General features: G+C 39.4%; 1 annotated feature.

Moving 5' to 3' along the window:
- Nucleotides 1,551-1,600: an enhancer, noted in NCBI's record as "active region_27349". NCBI's record gives its function as "activates an Ori minimal core promoter by ATAC-STARR-seq in GM12878 lymphoblastoid cells {active_cell/tissue: GM12878}" and the evidence as "EXISTENCE:reporter gene assay evidence [ECO:0000049][PMID:35858748]".

Here is a 16,627-nt window from a genome sequence, read left to right as displayed (position 1 = left end):
AGGCAGGTGTAGAGGGATTTACGTTAGCACCAGGGATTTCTGTCCAGGTTTTTTCTGCTTTTGTGTATGTTGACTTCATTCTCTCTTCCATATGACCAGAGTTAAAACAGGGAACTGAGAAAGAAAAGCATAAACCCTGGAGTGCTGGATTGGAAGGAACTACAGGTATCATATCAGTATGACTGTTTTTTTGTGTGGTTTTGGGGTCTTGCTCTGTGGCCCAGGCTAGAGGGCAGCGGCATGATTATAGCTCACTGTAGCCTCAAACTCCTGGGCCCAAGCGATCCTCCTAGCTCAGCCTCCCGAGTACTGGGACTACAGGCATGCGCTACCACGCCCAGCTAATTTTATTTTTATTTTTGTAGAGATGGGGCCTTGCTTGTTTTTTATAGATATATAAATATAGGCATGTGTTGTGTGCATGTATCTCCTCACAAAATATGTATTAGTTACAGAGAGGAAAATAGAAACTTGACAGTGAAGAAATCTACAGATACCACATCAACTCGACCATCAGGTACCTCAAAAAGGGGTACAAATCGTCTTCCAGTATTTGTCCAAAACTTGCATACAGTGAATCTAAACTTGAAGAAATATCAGACAAATTCAAATTAAAAGAAATTCTACAGAATAAATGTCCTGTTCTCCTAAAAATGTCAAGGCCGTGCAAGACAAAGACTAAGAAATGTTCCAGATTAAGGAGAATAGAGACATGAAAACTAAATGCAACAAGTAATTCTTGAACAGATCTGAGGAAAATGCTATAAAAGATATTGCAGGATCACTTGGAGAGGCCTAGGTGGGCTGATCACCTGAGGTCAGGAGTTCGAGACCAGCCTGGCCAACATGGTGAAACGCTGTCTCTACTAAAAATACAAAAATTAGCTGGGCCTGGTGGCAGGCACTTGTAATCCCAGCTACTCAGGAGGCTGAGGTGGAAGAATCACTTGAAACCAGGAGGCAGAGGTTGCAGCGAGCCAAGATCGCACCATCGCACTCCAGCCTGGGCAACAAGAGCAAAACTCTGTCTCAAAAAAAAAAGATATTGCAACAATTACCAAAATTTGAATATGGACTATAAATTGAATAACAGCTTTGTATCCATGTTAAGTTTTCTGGTTTGAATAGTTGTACTGTGGTTGTATTTTTAGGAATATTCTTAGTATATTCTTAGGAAATACATACTGAAGTATTTAGGGGCAAAGAAGCACAATTCTGAAACTCATTCTCAGACGTTTCAGAAAGAGAAATATATATGGCAAGTAGGACAAATATAAACAATTTGTAAGTCTAAGTTAAAATAATAAAAATTTGTATAGACTTATTTACCTGTTTTTCTGTCTATAGGCAGATAAGTTTTACTGCAGCTTATCGAAAACAAATCTCTCAGGCCCTTTGAACACAATGCTGTGGCAGATGTTGCTGACCTGCTTCCCTCAGATTTGCTTTCTCTTTGCAGTTACTAGTTTTGTCTGGGCCCTAGAAAAAGACTGTGTCTGATGTTGAAACAGAAACCACATCTTATGGGGCCCACTGTGCAGAAGAACACAAGCTGAAACAATATGAAGACTTAAGAGAGGTTATTTTTCTAATGTAACACACACACACACAGAGAGAGAGAAAGAGAGAGTAAAAATTCCAACAGTAGAAAAAGGAATGAATTGAAAAGTAAAAATGTCCTTCCCAAATTTATTCCACTCCCCAGAGGAAACCACTATTAATGATTTTTTGCATATCTTGCCTCTAAATTTTAAGGAGAGTGATTATACACACATGTATGGATATAGGTATATTATGTATATATCATATCTCCTTTACATTTTCAATGTTTATATATACACATATTTTTAAGTTGGTGCTTATCATTCTCAGGACAGAGAGAATTTTCCTTGGAGGAGGTGCTAAGGTAGGGGAGGTTGTCCTTTGTCCTTTACAAGAACCCCAGGCCCAGAGAATGAAGGAATTTTCACCACGTCAATAGCTGCTAAATGGCAGAGAAGAAACTAGAGACTCTTCAAATGCTTTGCATTGTTTTATTTTGTTCTCAAGCTTGCTTTATGGTTCAAAGTCTTACATTTACAAAGGTGCTGCTCCATCATGTCCTCACTCTCAAAGGCACACACATACATATCCCAAAATCTGAATGCATAAACAAAAATATAAGTGCAAACAACATAAAAGAGACCCAGATTTATACATATACATGTAAAGGCCTGTTCCATGTAGGAAATGTATTCATTCTTTCAACAATTTTAATATAATTGATATTTCTCCCCGTTTACGTGACAGGCTCTGAATGTTCCTGGTTCGTCTTCTACACACAGCACTTTCCCGGCAGCGCATGAGTCACATGAAACTTCTCTGGAGCAGAAATTCTATAGAAATAACTCTCTCCTGCCCCTTGGGTTACCCCTGGAGACTGTCAGTATCAAAGAGAATGTAAGACAATGCAATTAAATTAACAAAACATATCTCAAGATTGTATATAATATATTCATTAGCAGCAAATAGGAATTATTGCTGGCTGGATATAACATCCTAATCATACTCCATTAGAAATTATCTGTCTTTTGATTAAATAATTAGATGCTAACACTTAAAATAGTTCCATCTTTACTAAAAAAAAAAAAGTCATTAAAATATACTCACTGACTACAGTTTCTCCACATAAAAAAAAAACTCATGAAAACTTTCTTAGAATGAAGTTCTTTCCATTACACTGTTCCAAACAACAGGCAAATATTATTTTAATTATGACTATACTTTATTGTTCTCTACCATGTCTCACTTTTTTTCCCCTAGTGGTTTAGCCTAGTTTAAACTTTAGATAATCTAATTTTCTTCCTTTTTTATTTTATTTTCCTTTATTTTAACAGACTGTTTTTTCTTTCACTTAGTATCCTTTGGCATGACTTTTTTCTCCAGCCCCAAAAAGCTCCCAGGATCCCTGAGCTCCATATAATATTCCTTATAACTAAAACTGAGAGTGCTGATGTTTGGACCAAGAAGCTGCCTGGCATGTGTCCAATAAACTGTTACCTGAGTATGAGTATACAGGCATCCATCCCTTTGGAGAAGGACTATGGGAATCATCATTACTATCTGTGTTTGCCTTGTGTTACAAGATGCTTTCTCCTGGAAATCCAGCCTCCTGTTTAGTCCATGGTTTCCAAGTCTGAAAACTGCCTCAGGTCTGGAAACTGTGCAAGCAATTATGACTTTATAGACTGTTTTCAGCCTCTGGCCATCCATCCTCTATTTCTTCTGCAAGTATAAAATGAGTATTGCCCATCTGTTTGTCTTTAGAGGTGCTGGTTCTATTAACCACATCCATAACATTTGCAGATCAGTCCTTCTTGGCCACCACTCTGATCCTGCCTCTCCTTGTAATAGTTGCATACATCTGATTTCAGAGACTGTCTCACCACTTGGCCTCTATTGCTCTAGGGTTCTATGGCCTTCTTTATTATCGGTGAGCCTAGATCTGTAAAATTGCCTCTTTACAATCAGCTATGGTTTATAGAACTACCAACAAATATATTTTCGTGATTCTTTTTGCTAGTGTGTTGCTTGAGGTCTTGGTAAATGGTGTATCCTCTTAGCTGTTTCATGGAACATAATCAACTAATAGACCTTCCAGCCTTGCCTGGCATATTCATAGCACGCCAACTTCACTGAGCCTTTTAATTCCTTCTGCCATGGCAATTTTGGCATTTCAATTTCACTTTGCATGTTGGGAGACAATTCTGGTGTTTCTTCACATCTTTTGAGCAAAAGGCATTGACAGTAGTGTTCAACGATATCAGCAAAGCTGCTCTGAGGCAGAAAACAGATTTGCTCACATTTCAGGATAAGACAGCTAGAATCTGCCTCCCCCCCCTAAGACATTCTGGGATAATGAAAGAGAATACATCTCCAGAGGGGAGAAGTGATAGGTATGTTAGCAGCTCCTACATAAGATCAGGGTGTCCTAAGCTTGGAATGTCTCAGCTGTGACAGAGGCTCTGCGTGAACAGTACTCACCTGGGCCCACTCTGCCTCACCTCCTTTAAATTGGTGGTCAGGATGGATGACCCAGTGTGAACTTGAAGCTCCTACTGCCTGCTGTGCTAAGCTGTCTGGATCCAGCTGGACTCATTGCTTCCTTCTTGGCCATGTGGATGGAAGTGTGGTGGGCTGACCTAGCAGCTGCCTGCTGCTTAGAGACTGCTTGACCCCTTGGAAAAGCATGCTTGTTCCATGTTTGTTGCTTTTTCCATGTTGCTGCTTTCTCCATGCTTCTAGGAGCCATCCCAGGGTGAGTGATAGGGTGTTAAATCCAGTATCTCAAGAAAGTACTCCCAAAACAATAAACTCTCTTCTTTCTACCTGATGTTCTGGCCACTTTTACCACGCACCCTTAGAATCCCCAGAGTATTCCTCAATTGCATGCCAAATAGGCCTTGTTGTTCTTCTTAGGTGTAGCCCATTCCCTCCCTTATGAGGCCCAGCAAGCCTTTAGATGTGTTATATTGCAACTTAATCCGAGTTTACAGACATAGCAGCCAGAAGGAAAGGAAGGAAAGGAGGGGCAGATCCTGATGTGGACATATGTTGTCTACCTGGAGCTCTGATATCATTGAGGGGTTGTATTAAACAATGATAGAATTGCCTAAGTGTCTCATTCTTGTTATGTGGCATTTAATAGTGAGCTTTATTTTATCTTATTCTTTTAGAGGCAGAGTCTCATTCTGTCCCACAGGCTGGAGTGCAATGGCATAATCATAACTCACTATAGCCTTGAGCTCCTGGACTCAAGGGATCTTCCCACCTCAGCCTCCTGAGTAGCTGGGACTACAGGCCTGTGCCACCACACTCAGCTAAGGTTTTTATTTTATTTTTTGTAGAGGTGGGGTATCTTGCTATGTTGCCCAGGTTGGGCTGGTCTTGAACTCCTGGTCTCAAGTGATCTTCCTGACTCAGCCGCCCAAAGTGTTGAGATTACAGGTATGAGCCACCACCCCCAGCTATGACTCTTATTATTAAGCCATGTTTGGTCAGGTATTATGTCACCTGCTGCCAAAAGTAATTTTACTGATTGGCAGAACCAAACCTAGAAGGTGAATGACAGGTGACTTGTTTGTTACTAACCATATTCAGATTGTATTGGTTAAATTTATCAGTATCAATTTCTTTTTTTTTCTTTTTTTTTTTTTTTGAGACAGAGTCTGGCTCTGTCACCCAGGCTGGAGTACAGTGGCACAGTCTTGGCTCACTGCAACATCCGCCTCCCGGGTTCAAGAGATTCTTCTGCCTCAGCCTCCTGAGTAGCTGGGATTACAGGCAGCCGCCACAGGGCCCTGCTAATTTTTGTGTTTTTTTAGTAGAGATGGGGTTTTGCCATGTTGGCCAGGCTGGTCTCAAACTCCTGACCTCAGGTGATCCACCCGCCTCAGCCTCCCAAAGTGCTGGGATTACAGGCGTGAGCCACCACACCCGGCCATCAGTATCAATTTCTAAGAGTATTAGTGAACATTAGATCAATATACACTGGGGTGTGGGGAGGGGGTATTTAAAATAACAATAATAAAAGAGCTAGTGCCAGAAGATACATCAATAGTAGTAAAGCATATAGATAAATATATAGATAATGGCAGATGCTGTTTCTCATCTACTCCAAAGCTAGCCCCTTTCTTAGTCCTTGTGGGGTTTTGTTTTTGTTTTTTTAATTTTATTAAATTATTTTTCTTTTAGAGATGGGAGTCTCACTATGTCACCCAGGCTGGTCTCAAACTCCTGAAAACCTTTTGAGTTAAAATATTTTGTTGTTAGGGAAGCTTTCCAGTCTGAGGTCTGGGATGGATCCATGACACAAATCTGGCCAACAAGGCTTAAGCCGCTGTCCTGGGACCATCTGGGAAGGATTTTCCTCACTTAGAGGTAAGCATATGAGGTGAAATTCTGCCTTGCCTGCACCACACCCACTTCTCATCTTTGATAAATGCAGTGATGCGTGGAGCCACAGGGAAGACTGAGGGCTGCAGGGATGAGCCCCAGAGTCCTAGCACACTTGACCTTCTCACTTAATGCCAGTGACACCCCCGACCCCACCTCTAGATTTCTTGTGATGTGAAAAAATCAAATTCTTTTTTTTTTTTTTTTTGACTTACCAATAGGTGAGACATATCTTATTTGCAGCCAAGGCTTCCTTAGTGGGGTCCATAAATCAAAGGAATATAGAGTTTACCTGGAGACCACATTTGAATACTATTTAGACTCAGTGTTACATCGCTTTCATTGTATTGTAATTGTCGCTATTGCTATTATTGGCAGGTGTGTAGGAAAGGGGGAAATTACCAAACACTTTGAACACAAGTAGGCTGGGATAACCCAGCCTCAGAGGCGAAATTGGAAATAATCACTCTGGGAAAATAAGAGTTAAGGAGGTGTGGTGATATGTGTCTTCAATATTAAAATAGCAAACATGTATAAAAGAGATTTAAGCAAGTCTCTGTGTTTCTGAAGGACAAAAGTAAGACCTATGGATGGACCTTGTACAGAGTGAGATTTGTCCAGGTAGAACTCACTACCGAGGATCGTTGAAACCTAGACTGAACTGCGCAGTGTCATAGCTCACTTCCTAGTATTGAAGGTTCCAGGTAAAGGTGAGATGGCCATGTGCAAGGCTGTAACCTGCTAAAATAAGTCACTGTTCAAGGTGAGAGTCTGGAAGAGCTATCCTTGGGGTCTTTCTCACTCAACAATTCTATGCTTCTGTCCCTTCCTGTCATAGAAATTAGTGATTTAATAACTATGAAATCATAAAATCTGAAACACCAAAGACAACTGGATGCAACCCCTTAGGGGTTTGGAAAATGTTTGCCAGTGATTTAAAAAAATCTCCTAAAATATGACTATAATTCCAAAATTTACTCTTATGTTGATAAGAGACCTGGCATTTAAAGAATTAATCACTGTATCAACATGTAAGGGTATTAGAAAACAGTAATCAGTGCCACAGCCAACAAGTCAATGAAGCAGGTTAGATCAACAAAAAACAAACCTTAGTGTACACAGAAATTTAGTGTATGCTAAAAGGGCAAATGGGTGTATCAGTAAATTTATATTGTGGGAACAATTGGTTAACCCTTTGGGAAAAACAAAGTTGGAGTCTTATTTCCTAAAACACATAAAAATAAATTCTAGAGGTAAATTAATATTAATTTTTTAACATTATAAGTGTTTTTTTTACAAAATCATAAAAGAATAGTAGAAATCAATGCCTATTTGTTCTAGAAAGAGGGAATTATTTCTTTAGCATAAAATGAATTGAAGAAATTAAAAAGGACATCATTATTCACAGGTGACATGATTGCCTGGATAAGCAATTCAGAAGAATTTACAGAAAAACTCTTAGAATTAATAAGATAATTTAATAAAATATACCCCCTCTATATATGTAATTACAGTATACCAGCAAAAAACAAACCCCAGGAAATTAAAGTTTTAAAAAATACCATTAATAGCTTCAAAATTATCAAGTAATTAGATTAAACTGTGCAAGATATGTTCAAAATATCTATAAAGATAATTATAAATTTCCTTATAAAACATGTTTAAATTAACCCAAATAACGGGAGATACAACATGTTCAGATTGTAAGGCTCAGAACCGTAAAGACATGAATTCTAAGTTAGCTTATGCAATCCCAGTTAAAATCCTAAGAGTGTGTACATGTGTATGTAACTGGATGAGCTAATTCTTAAATATATATAGAACTGCAAAGGGAATAGCCAACACACTCATGAAAAGAAATAAGTGGAAGGACTTGCTCTACCAGATACCAGAGCTCATTATGAAGCTATAGTAATAGAGACAGTGAGCTATTAGTGCACGGACAGAAACAAAGACTAATGGAACAGAATACGCTATCCAGACACAGGCACAAAATTTATAACAAAGCAGAACAGCAGAGAAAAGGCGGACTTTTCAACAAAACATGCTGGGGCAATTAGGTATTCATGCAGGAAAAATAGATTTGACTCCTGCCTCACGTCTATACCAAAAGTCCATTTAAGAAGGATTAAAGAACTAAATGCGAAAGGCAAAACTAGAAAAAAAAATTTAAGATAATAGCTTAGCAATCTTCCGGTAGTGGAAGATTTCTTAAACAAGATAGAACTTTCATTCAAATAAACATGCCATAAGAATAAAAAAGGACATCCTGCAAAATGAAAGAAGATATTTGCAACATGTAACTAAAAAAAAGAACTTACATGCAGAATATTATTTTCAAAGTCTATAAATAAATTTTAAAAAATACAGCAGACCCAGTAGAAATTAAAATGACTCAAATAGATACTTGACAAAGAGGAAATCCCAGTGGCCGATAAATACATGAAAAGCTGCTCAATTGCATTAAAAAAGGAAATTAAAACCACAAAGTAGCATCATATACTAACCAGATTGGTAAGATATTTGAAGTCTCATAACAGTTGACAAGAAAGTGGAGTCAAAAAACTGTAATAACCAGCTTATGGGAGAATAAGTTAATATAACAGTACAAAAAATACTTTGGTGATGAAGATTTAAAGGCATCAATATCTCATGACCCAGCAAATTCTAGGTACACATTCCAGAGAAATGAATGCATATATGTACCAGTGTGCATGTACAAAAATGTTGACAGCACTATAGTTCAGAACAACCAAAATTACAAACAAACCAAATATCCATCAACAGTAAGTGAATAAATTGATGTATATTTGAATGGAATGTCATAAAACAACAAAAATAAACTATAGCTACATGTCACAAGATTGATAAATGCTGCAATCATTATGGTACAAAAGATAGTTATAAATAATGCATATGGGAGGATATACCTATTATTGATTTTTAATTTTTAGGGAGGCCTATGTATATAATAAAAAGAAAAATTATAACCATAAAGGTGAATCATGTATTGGTTTTCTATTGCTGCAAAACAATTTATTCCAAAATTTAGTGGCTTAAGACAAAAATCATTTATTATTCCATAGCTGCTGTGGGTCAGGAATCCCATTGTGGCTTAGCTGGATGCCTCTGGCTCATGGTCTCCCACAGGCTCAATCAAGGTACTCCTGGGCTGCATTCATCTCAAGGTTGGATTGGGGCAGGAGCTGCTTCCAAGTTCATTAACATGGTTGTTGGAGGCCTTCAGTCCTTACTGTTGGCAGGAGACATTAGTTCCTTGCCCCATGAAGCTCATAGTGTGGCATCTGCATCCCCTAGAGCAAGAACCGAGAGAGGGAACTGGAGGAGAGAGGAGGAAGTGGCAGAAACAGAAACCACAATCAGATCTACTCAAAAATGGCACACCATTGTTTTTGCTGGATTCTATTGGCTTGAAGCAAGTCCATGAGTCCAGCCCACACTCAGTGGGACGAGATTACACAGGGCATGAATACCAATCGGGGCCATCATAAAGGATGCCTACCACAGGCAGTTACTGCTAAAGCAAAGAGGAACATTGTGATAAAGAAGAGGAATAAGAGATGAAGGAAGCTTCTGGAGTGTTGGCATCATTATATTTCTTCATACACATACACACATTTTCACACACTTCAGGATGTACATTATAGCTCACAATGAAAAACTATAAAGTTATGTATAGGAAAATCATAGTGAAACCCATATTATTAAGCATGAAAAAATTTTAAATATCTTTATACTTAGGTCGGGCTCAGTGGCTCATACCTGTAATCCCAGCACTTTGGGAGCCCAAGGTGGGCAGATCACCTAAGGTCAGGAGTTCGAGATCAACCTGGACAACATGGTGAAACCCTGTCTCTACTAATGATACAAAAATTAGCCAGGCATGGTGGCAGGTGCCTGTAATCCCAGCTACTCAGGAGGCTGAGGCAGGAGAATGTCTTGAACCTGGAGGTGGAGCTTGCAGTGAGCCAAGATAGTGCCACTGCACTCCAGCCTGGGCGGCAGAGCCAGACTCCATCTCAAAAAAAAAAAAAAACCATCAAAAAAACACAAAAATCTTTATATCTAATAACATTATTTAACAAATAAAAAGGGGAAAACCAGAGATAAGAGTAATACAATAATCAACAAAAAATGAAAACAAACGAATGAAAGTCAGGCGTGGTGGCTCATACCTGTAATCCCAGCATTTCAGGAGGCTGAGGTGCGAGGATCACTTGAAGCCCGGAGTTCAAGACCAGCCTGGGCAACATAGTGAGACCCCATCTCTCCCAAAAAAACAAAAATAGAAAAATAAGCCAGACATGGTGGCACATGCCTGTAGTCCCAGCTACTTGGGAGGCTGAGGTGATCGAGCCACTGTGCTCCAGCCTGGGTGACAGAGCAAGACCCTGTCTCAAAAACAAAAAATGAATAATACAATGATAAAAGACCATTTATGCCTTAATCTATACAGACCTGATAAAAATCAATTATGAAAAAAAATACTACTGTAATCCCAGCCCTTTGGGAGCCCGAGGTGGGTGAATCACTTGAGGCCAGGAGTTCAAGGCCAGCCTGGCCAACATGGCAAAACCCTGTCTCTACTAAAAATACAAAAATTAGACAGGTGTGATGGTGTGCACCTGTAGTCCCAGCTGCTTGGGAGACTTAGGCAGAAGAATGGCTTGAACCCAGGAGATGGAGGTTGCAGTGAGCCGAGATCATGCCACTGCACTTCAGCCTGGGTGACAGAGCAAGACCCCTTTCTCAAAAAAAAAAAAAAAAGAAAAGAAAAGAAATATAAGCAAACTTGTAAGAAACTCTTAGAAGACAGTATACAAATGACCAACAAACATATAAAAATGTTCAACTTTACCATCAAAGGATAAGAGTGACAGCAGAAGCTGTCATGTTTGCTTCTTAAATTAACAAAGATGTTTTGAAAGACAGCTTTCACTGGTGAAGAGTATGTAGTGAAATCAGCATTCTCATACACTATATTAGGCTACATCTGACCATCCTAGAAAGCAACTCAACAATATATCAGGATTTTCCAAATTCAAATGGTATGACCCTACTCTAGAACATTATTTTAAACTTTAAGTAATATAACTGTATTAAATGAAATTTGAAAAATAATAAATAAAAATTAATATCTCTAACCCTACTGCTTTCATAATTTAATTATCATTATTCTGGTTAAATTCTTGGCCAGGCTTGGTGGCTCATGCCTGTAATCCCAGCAATTTGGGAGGCTCAGGTGGGCAGATCACCTGAGGTCAGGAGTTCAAGACTAGCCTGGCCAACATGGTGAGACCCCATCTCTACTAAAAATACAAAAATTAGACGGGTGTGGTGGCACATGCCTGTAATTCCAGCTACTTGGGAGGCTGAGGCAGGAGAATTGCTTGAACCCAGGAGACAGAGGTTACAGTGAGCCGAGAGCACGCCACTGCACTCCAGCCTGGATGACAGAGCCAGACTCTGTCTCAAAAAAAAAAAAAAAATTCCTTGCAAGATTTTTTAAATATGTCTCTGTAGATGGCTGTAATTACCATGTACATAGTTGCATTTTTTAATCTAATATTATATAACATAAATTTTTCCACATTGCCATATATTTGATTGCCACACAATGTTCCTTAGAGTAAAAATACCATGGTTTATTTATTTATTATTCCATTTTGGAGATTTGTTTCTATGATTTTTATCCCTTTTCACTAACTTTGCAATAAACATTCTCCTTTAGAGAAGTTTTTTCCCATATTAGATTGTCTCAATAGAATTTTTTAAATAATTTAAATAAGGTTTTCTCAGCTCTTTAATTAGTTGCCAAATTAGTTTCCAAAAGTTTGTGTGAATTTATAAAGTTGCCAAGGAAGCATGAGTATCAGTTTAACTCCATCTCATCAGCAGTGAATATTATTTGATATGGTCTCTTCTAATTTAGTGATGCAAAAGAGCTTTTTAAAAATTTAGTCTTCTGACAAAGATGCTTTAATAGAGGCAAGGCTGAGTTCCCCACGCTGCTCACAGTTCACAGTTCGGGGCCAGCTTCCAACTGTCTGACACAAGAGCAATTAGAAACAACGTATGGAGGTGGATAAGAATCACTATGTGATAACATCATGCAGTTAAAAAGATCTGATGTCATTTATTAAATGTCATCATCTATAGGCTTTAAAAGAAAGGAGAAAACTGTTCCATAAAACTATCACATATTGTGACTGAAAATGAAAGAATAAATAGGAACTGTTTTGAAAGAAAGGCAGTTAAAAATAAACCGATAATGGACAAAACAAACCCACTAGAAACTACAGTCCAGAAATGTCTCTAGAAGTGACATTAATTAGGACAGAGGAAAGGGAGTTATATCTGACCTGAGATCAATAATCTTTCATTGGATTAAAGACAACCAGGTAGAATATCCAAAGGATATTCTTTTATGAAATGAAAAGGAAGGAAAGGTCACTATGATTTTAATAAAAAACTATATTTGGTCTTTGACCCTGGCTTCTGGCACAGAGCTCCTGAAACCCGTGGAATTTCCTGAGTGATAGGAGTGTCCTTTGTAATTCATAATGAGCAGCTTTCATCACAGCTGAGTTTATGCAAATGGCATGACTTAGAGCAGGATCCCTAGATAGCCTCAGGCTGCGGCTGGTCACCAGAAAGACCAAGTAAGTAGGGTCTTGGAACTTTCAGCCCCACTCACTGGGCTCTGGGAAGAGGAAGAGGAGGTAGAGATTAAGTGATATAAAAACTCTTGAACAGGCCAGGTGCAGTGGCTCATGCCTGTAATCCCAGCACTTTGGGAGGCCGAGGTGGGCGGATCACCTGAGGTCAGGAGTTCAAGACTAGCCTGTTCAATATGGTGAAACCCGATCTCTCATTTAAGGGGAAGGATTTCTTTTTCTGTTGTTCATTACTGTATCCCCTGCACCTAAAAAAAAAAAATGCCTGCTAACCAATAAATAGTTGTTAAATAAGTGAATCCTAGAATAGATTGATACCCAGTTACATATTATAAACTTAAATGAATCAGAATTAACTTTCTAACCTCTCCCTCCCACTCTCTGCCTCCCCTCTAATCTCTCTTCCTAGCTTTTCTCTCTCTCTATCCCATTCTCTTCCATTACACATATGGCAAAATGAGTTCAGAGAGGCTTTCCACAGAAAGACAAGACAGCAAAGCAGAGCAGAGGGGCAGTAGCTGGCCTGGGAGGGTGGGGCCGAAGAGTTTATTTTAAATGGAATGAAAAAGCATGGTTGAAAGTTGATGAAAATGATTCAGTGGACACAAACTGGTGACCCAGAAGAAGCAGCAAAGGTTGGCTTGACCAGATCCAGAGCATAAGTGGAGGGCATGGTCTTGGGTGGGCACAGGAACAGTCAGAAGGCCAAGGAAACGTGTTCAGGTGCAGAGGAGGCTGGAGGTGATGGTAGCAGCTTGCAGAACTTTTTTTTAATTTTTTTTTCCAGAGAAATAAGAAAAAGCATCACTGAGTGGGGACAGGAAGGAGGAGCTGTAAGTCTGGGAAGAATGACTAAGGTAGGAAATCATCATCTAGCACAAGGGCGAGTTATTGGACTAGGGAAAGGAGTGGAACTGCTGGACAGAGGTGGTTGAATTTAAAGTGAGACCAGTTGTTGGGTCAACATGATCTGGGATTTTTTTATTTGCTTGTTTGTTTGTTTTATGGCATATTCTGCTACACGGTTCAGAGTGAGCAGGAAGAGAGCAGCGTTTAACCAGGTTTGGAGTTTTCCAAGCAAGTGGTGAGAAGTAAGTGAGGGCAAGGGAATTGGAGGTGCAGCCAAGGGAGGAGTCACTGATGATGGGCGATGAAGCCCCCACTGTGGAAGGCAGGCAATGAGGCTGTGAGGGGGTTGGGAAACATGAACTTGTGGAGGGAGGCATAGCTGGTAGGGGTTCAGTAAGGCCCAGGAACATTGGAGTCCAGGCACTACAGAGAGTGAGCTAAAGACAGGAGCTAGTGGTCTGAAAGTGAAATATTTGCAATTGGTATTTGGAAGGGGCACATTTCTTAACCATGACAAGGATATTGAATGGGAATAAAATAGAGAGGAAGATAAAAGACTGGAGAAAAGTTCTAGGATTAAGAGGCCACGATATTGGAAGTATTTTATTCCTATGATTGCTGTATGTTTATGCAGTTAATTCGTGACTTCCACATGTGTTAGAGTTGTGATAATGGCCCAACCTAGGTGCACATTAGGGGCACGCTGGGGGAGCCTTTAGAAAATATAGGTGCTGGGGACCCACACTAGACCAAGTGAATTAGAACTGTTGAGGTTGAAGATTTTTGTTTCAGAGTTTAAAGGAGAAGTATAAAATGTATTCAAAATTTAAATACATTTTGTCCAAGATCAGAAAATAAAAGTAACAAAGCAAACTCCTTCTCCCACAGGCTCCCACATTGCCTAACACATTCCAAAATATCTGATATTTAAAAAATTAATGAAATAATGCAGATTTTATGTTCCCAGAGCTGTGCTTCTCGAAGTTGAATATGTGTATGAGTCACCTGGGAAACTTGTTAAAATGCAAAATCTCATGTAGTTGGTCTTGGGTTTTGCTGGAGTTCGTGCATTTAAACTGGGAGATGCCAGAATGCTGACTCATAGAGGATGTTCTTATTAGCAAAGTGATGAGGGATCCTTTTAGTGGCACTGGATAGGAACTGCTGAAGAAGTGGATGCCAGGCCACAGGGGCAGGTTAACTTTTGACTTATCAAAAATTAGTGAGAACTTGGCCGGGTGCAGTGGCTCATGCCTGTAATCCCAGCACTTTGGGAGGCTAAGACAGGCAGATCACTTGAGGCCAGGAGTTCAAGAACAGCCTGGCCAACATAGCAAAACACCATCTCTACTAAAAATACAAAAATTAGGCGTGATGGTGAGCACCTATCATTTCAGCTACTCGGGAGGCTGAGGCAGGAGAATTGCTTGAACCTGGGATGTGGAGGTTGCAGTGAGCCACCGATATCACGCCACTGCATGCTCCAGCTTGGGTGACAGAGCAAGACTCTGTCTCAAAAAAAAAAAAAATTAAAAATTAAAAAAGGAACAGGAGAGAAAAAAGTTATGAACTACTCACAAAACCCATGATCACTCCAGAGGGCATCTGAAGTCATGTGCAAAGCGGTGTGGACTGGCCAATCCCAGCCTAAAAAGTCCCTTCTGTGATGCATCACCTCAATCTCATCGTGACAAAGCATCAGCTGAACCCCAAATGAAGGTCAACACCTGGATTCTACTCTTTAAAAATATGAACATCACAAAAGACAAGGAAAATGTGAGGAACTACTCTAGACGGAAGGAAAACAAAATGAGATGAAAGCTAAGTGCAGCATGAGATCCTGGATTGAATCCTATTCCCGAAGAGAAAAGGGGATTGCAAAGAACATGGTTGGGTCCGCTGGTGATATCTGAGTGAGGTCTGGGTGGTGGCACTGTATTGATGCTGACTTCCCGATGTGGACGGACGTACCTGTTATGCAAGAGCCTGTCCATGTTTTTAGGCAGCACACACAGCAGTGTTTTAGGGTAAAAGAGCATGTCAGCAATTGCTCTCAAATGATTCAGAAAAATATATAATAATAATAATGCTGTGGGTGGAGGGAGATGAGAGAGAGAGACTACAGTACGTCCTCACTGAATGTCATCAATGGGTTCTTGGAAACAGAGACAATGAATGAAATGACATATAATGAAACCAGTTTTCCCATAGGTTAATTGATATAAGTAAGAGTTAAGTTCCTACAGCACATTTCTGGTCATAAAAACATCATCAAACTTCTAAACAAAGACACAAAACACTTTACTATTAATCCTTCTTGTTTTTATTAATCTTTATTAAATTTATGGAGAGCGCTTATTGAAATAAATGTATTCAATTCTCACTTAAATAAATGAGAACTCTTCATTAATTTAATAAAGGTAAATAAAAACAAGAAAAAGAATTATTTACCCAATTTTTGATGACTCAGTGAGTGATGACATCGAAGCGGTGGTGGGTTAAATCAAGGAATAAATGTTTGCAAAGCAAAAATTGTCAAGAGCATCTCCTTGCACCACACAATTCAAAAGCAATCACAAATGTGGCAGCTCACTGAGCATGTTCATATTGCGTCATCTATTTTTGTGCATTTCTGTGGTTATCGTAGACTTTAGGAATGTTTGCTTTATAATCATTTGTATTCACTCATTCATTTTCCAACCCATTTATTCCAGTTAGTGTCATGGGTGGCAGGAGCCATCCTGGCAGCTCAGGTCGGGAAGTGAAAACCAGCCTGGACAGTTGCCATCCTATCACAAAGCACACTCACACTCACACTGGGACCATGTAGACACAGCAGTTCACCAGCGTGCATGGCTTTGGGATGCAGGAGGAAGTCCAAGGACCCAGAGATGAAAACCCATGCAGACATGGGGAGAACATACAAACTCCACAAACAGTGGACCCTGGCAGGAATCAATTTTTTTCTCATCAATGTTATAACAGAATGATGTTATTCAAGGACCTGGTGAATACAGAAATTCTTTATACTACTTTTTCAACTTTTCTGAATGTTTGAAATTATTTCAAAGTAAAAAAGTTTTAAAAATCAAAATCAGCCTTGGCATAGTGGCTCACGCTTATAATCTCAATGCTTTGGTAGGCCA

This window comes from Homo sapiens, chromosome 8 (assembly GCF_000001405.40).
Source record: "Homo sapiens chromosome 8, GRCh38.p14 Primary Assembly".
NCBI classification, from domain to species: domain Eukaryota; kingdom Metazoa; phylum Chordata; class Mammalia; order Primates; family Hominidae; genus Homo; species Homo sapiens.
The sequence above is the reverse complement of the archived record's forward strand: the minus strand, read 5'-3'. Positions and strand labels throughout refer to the sequence as shown.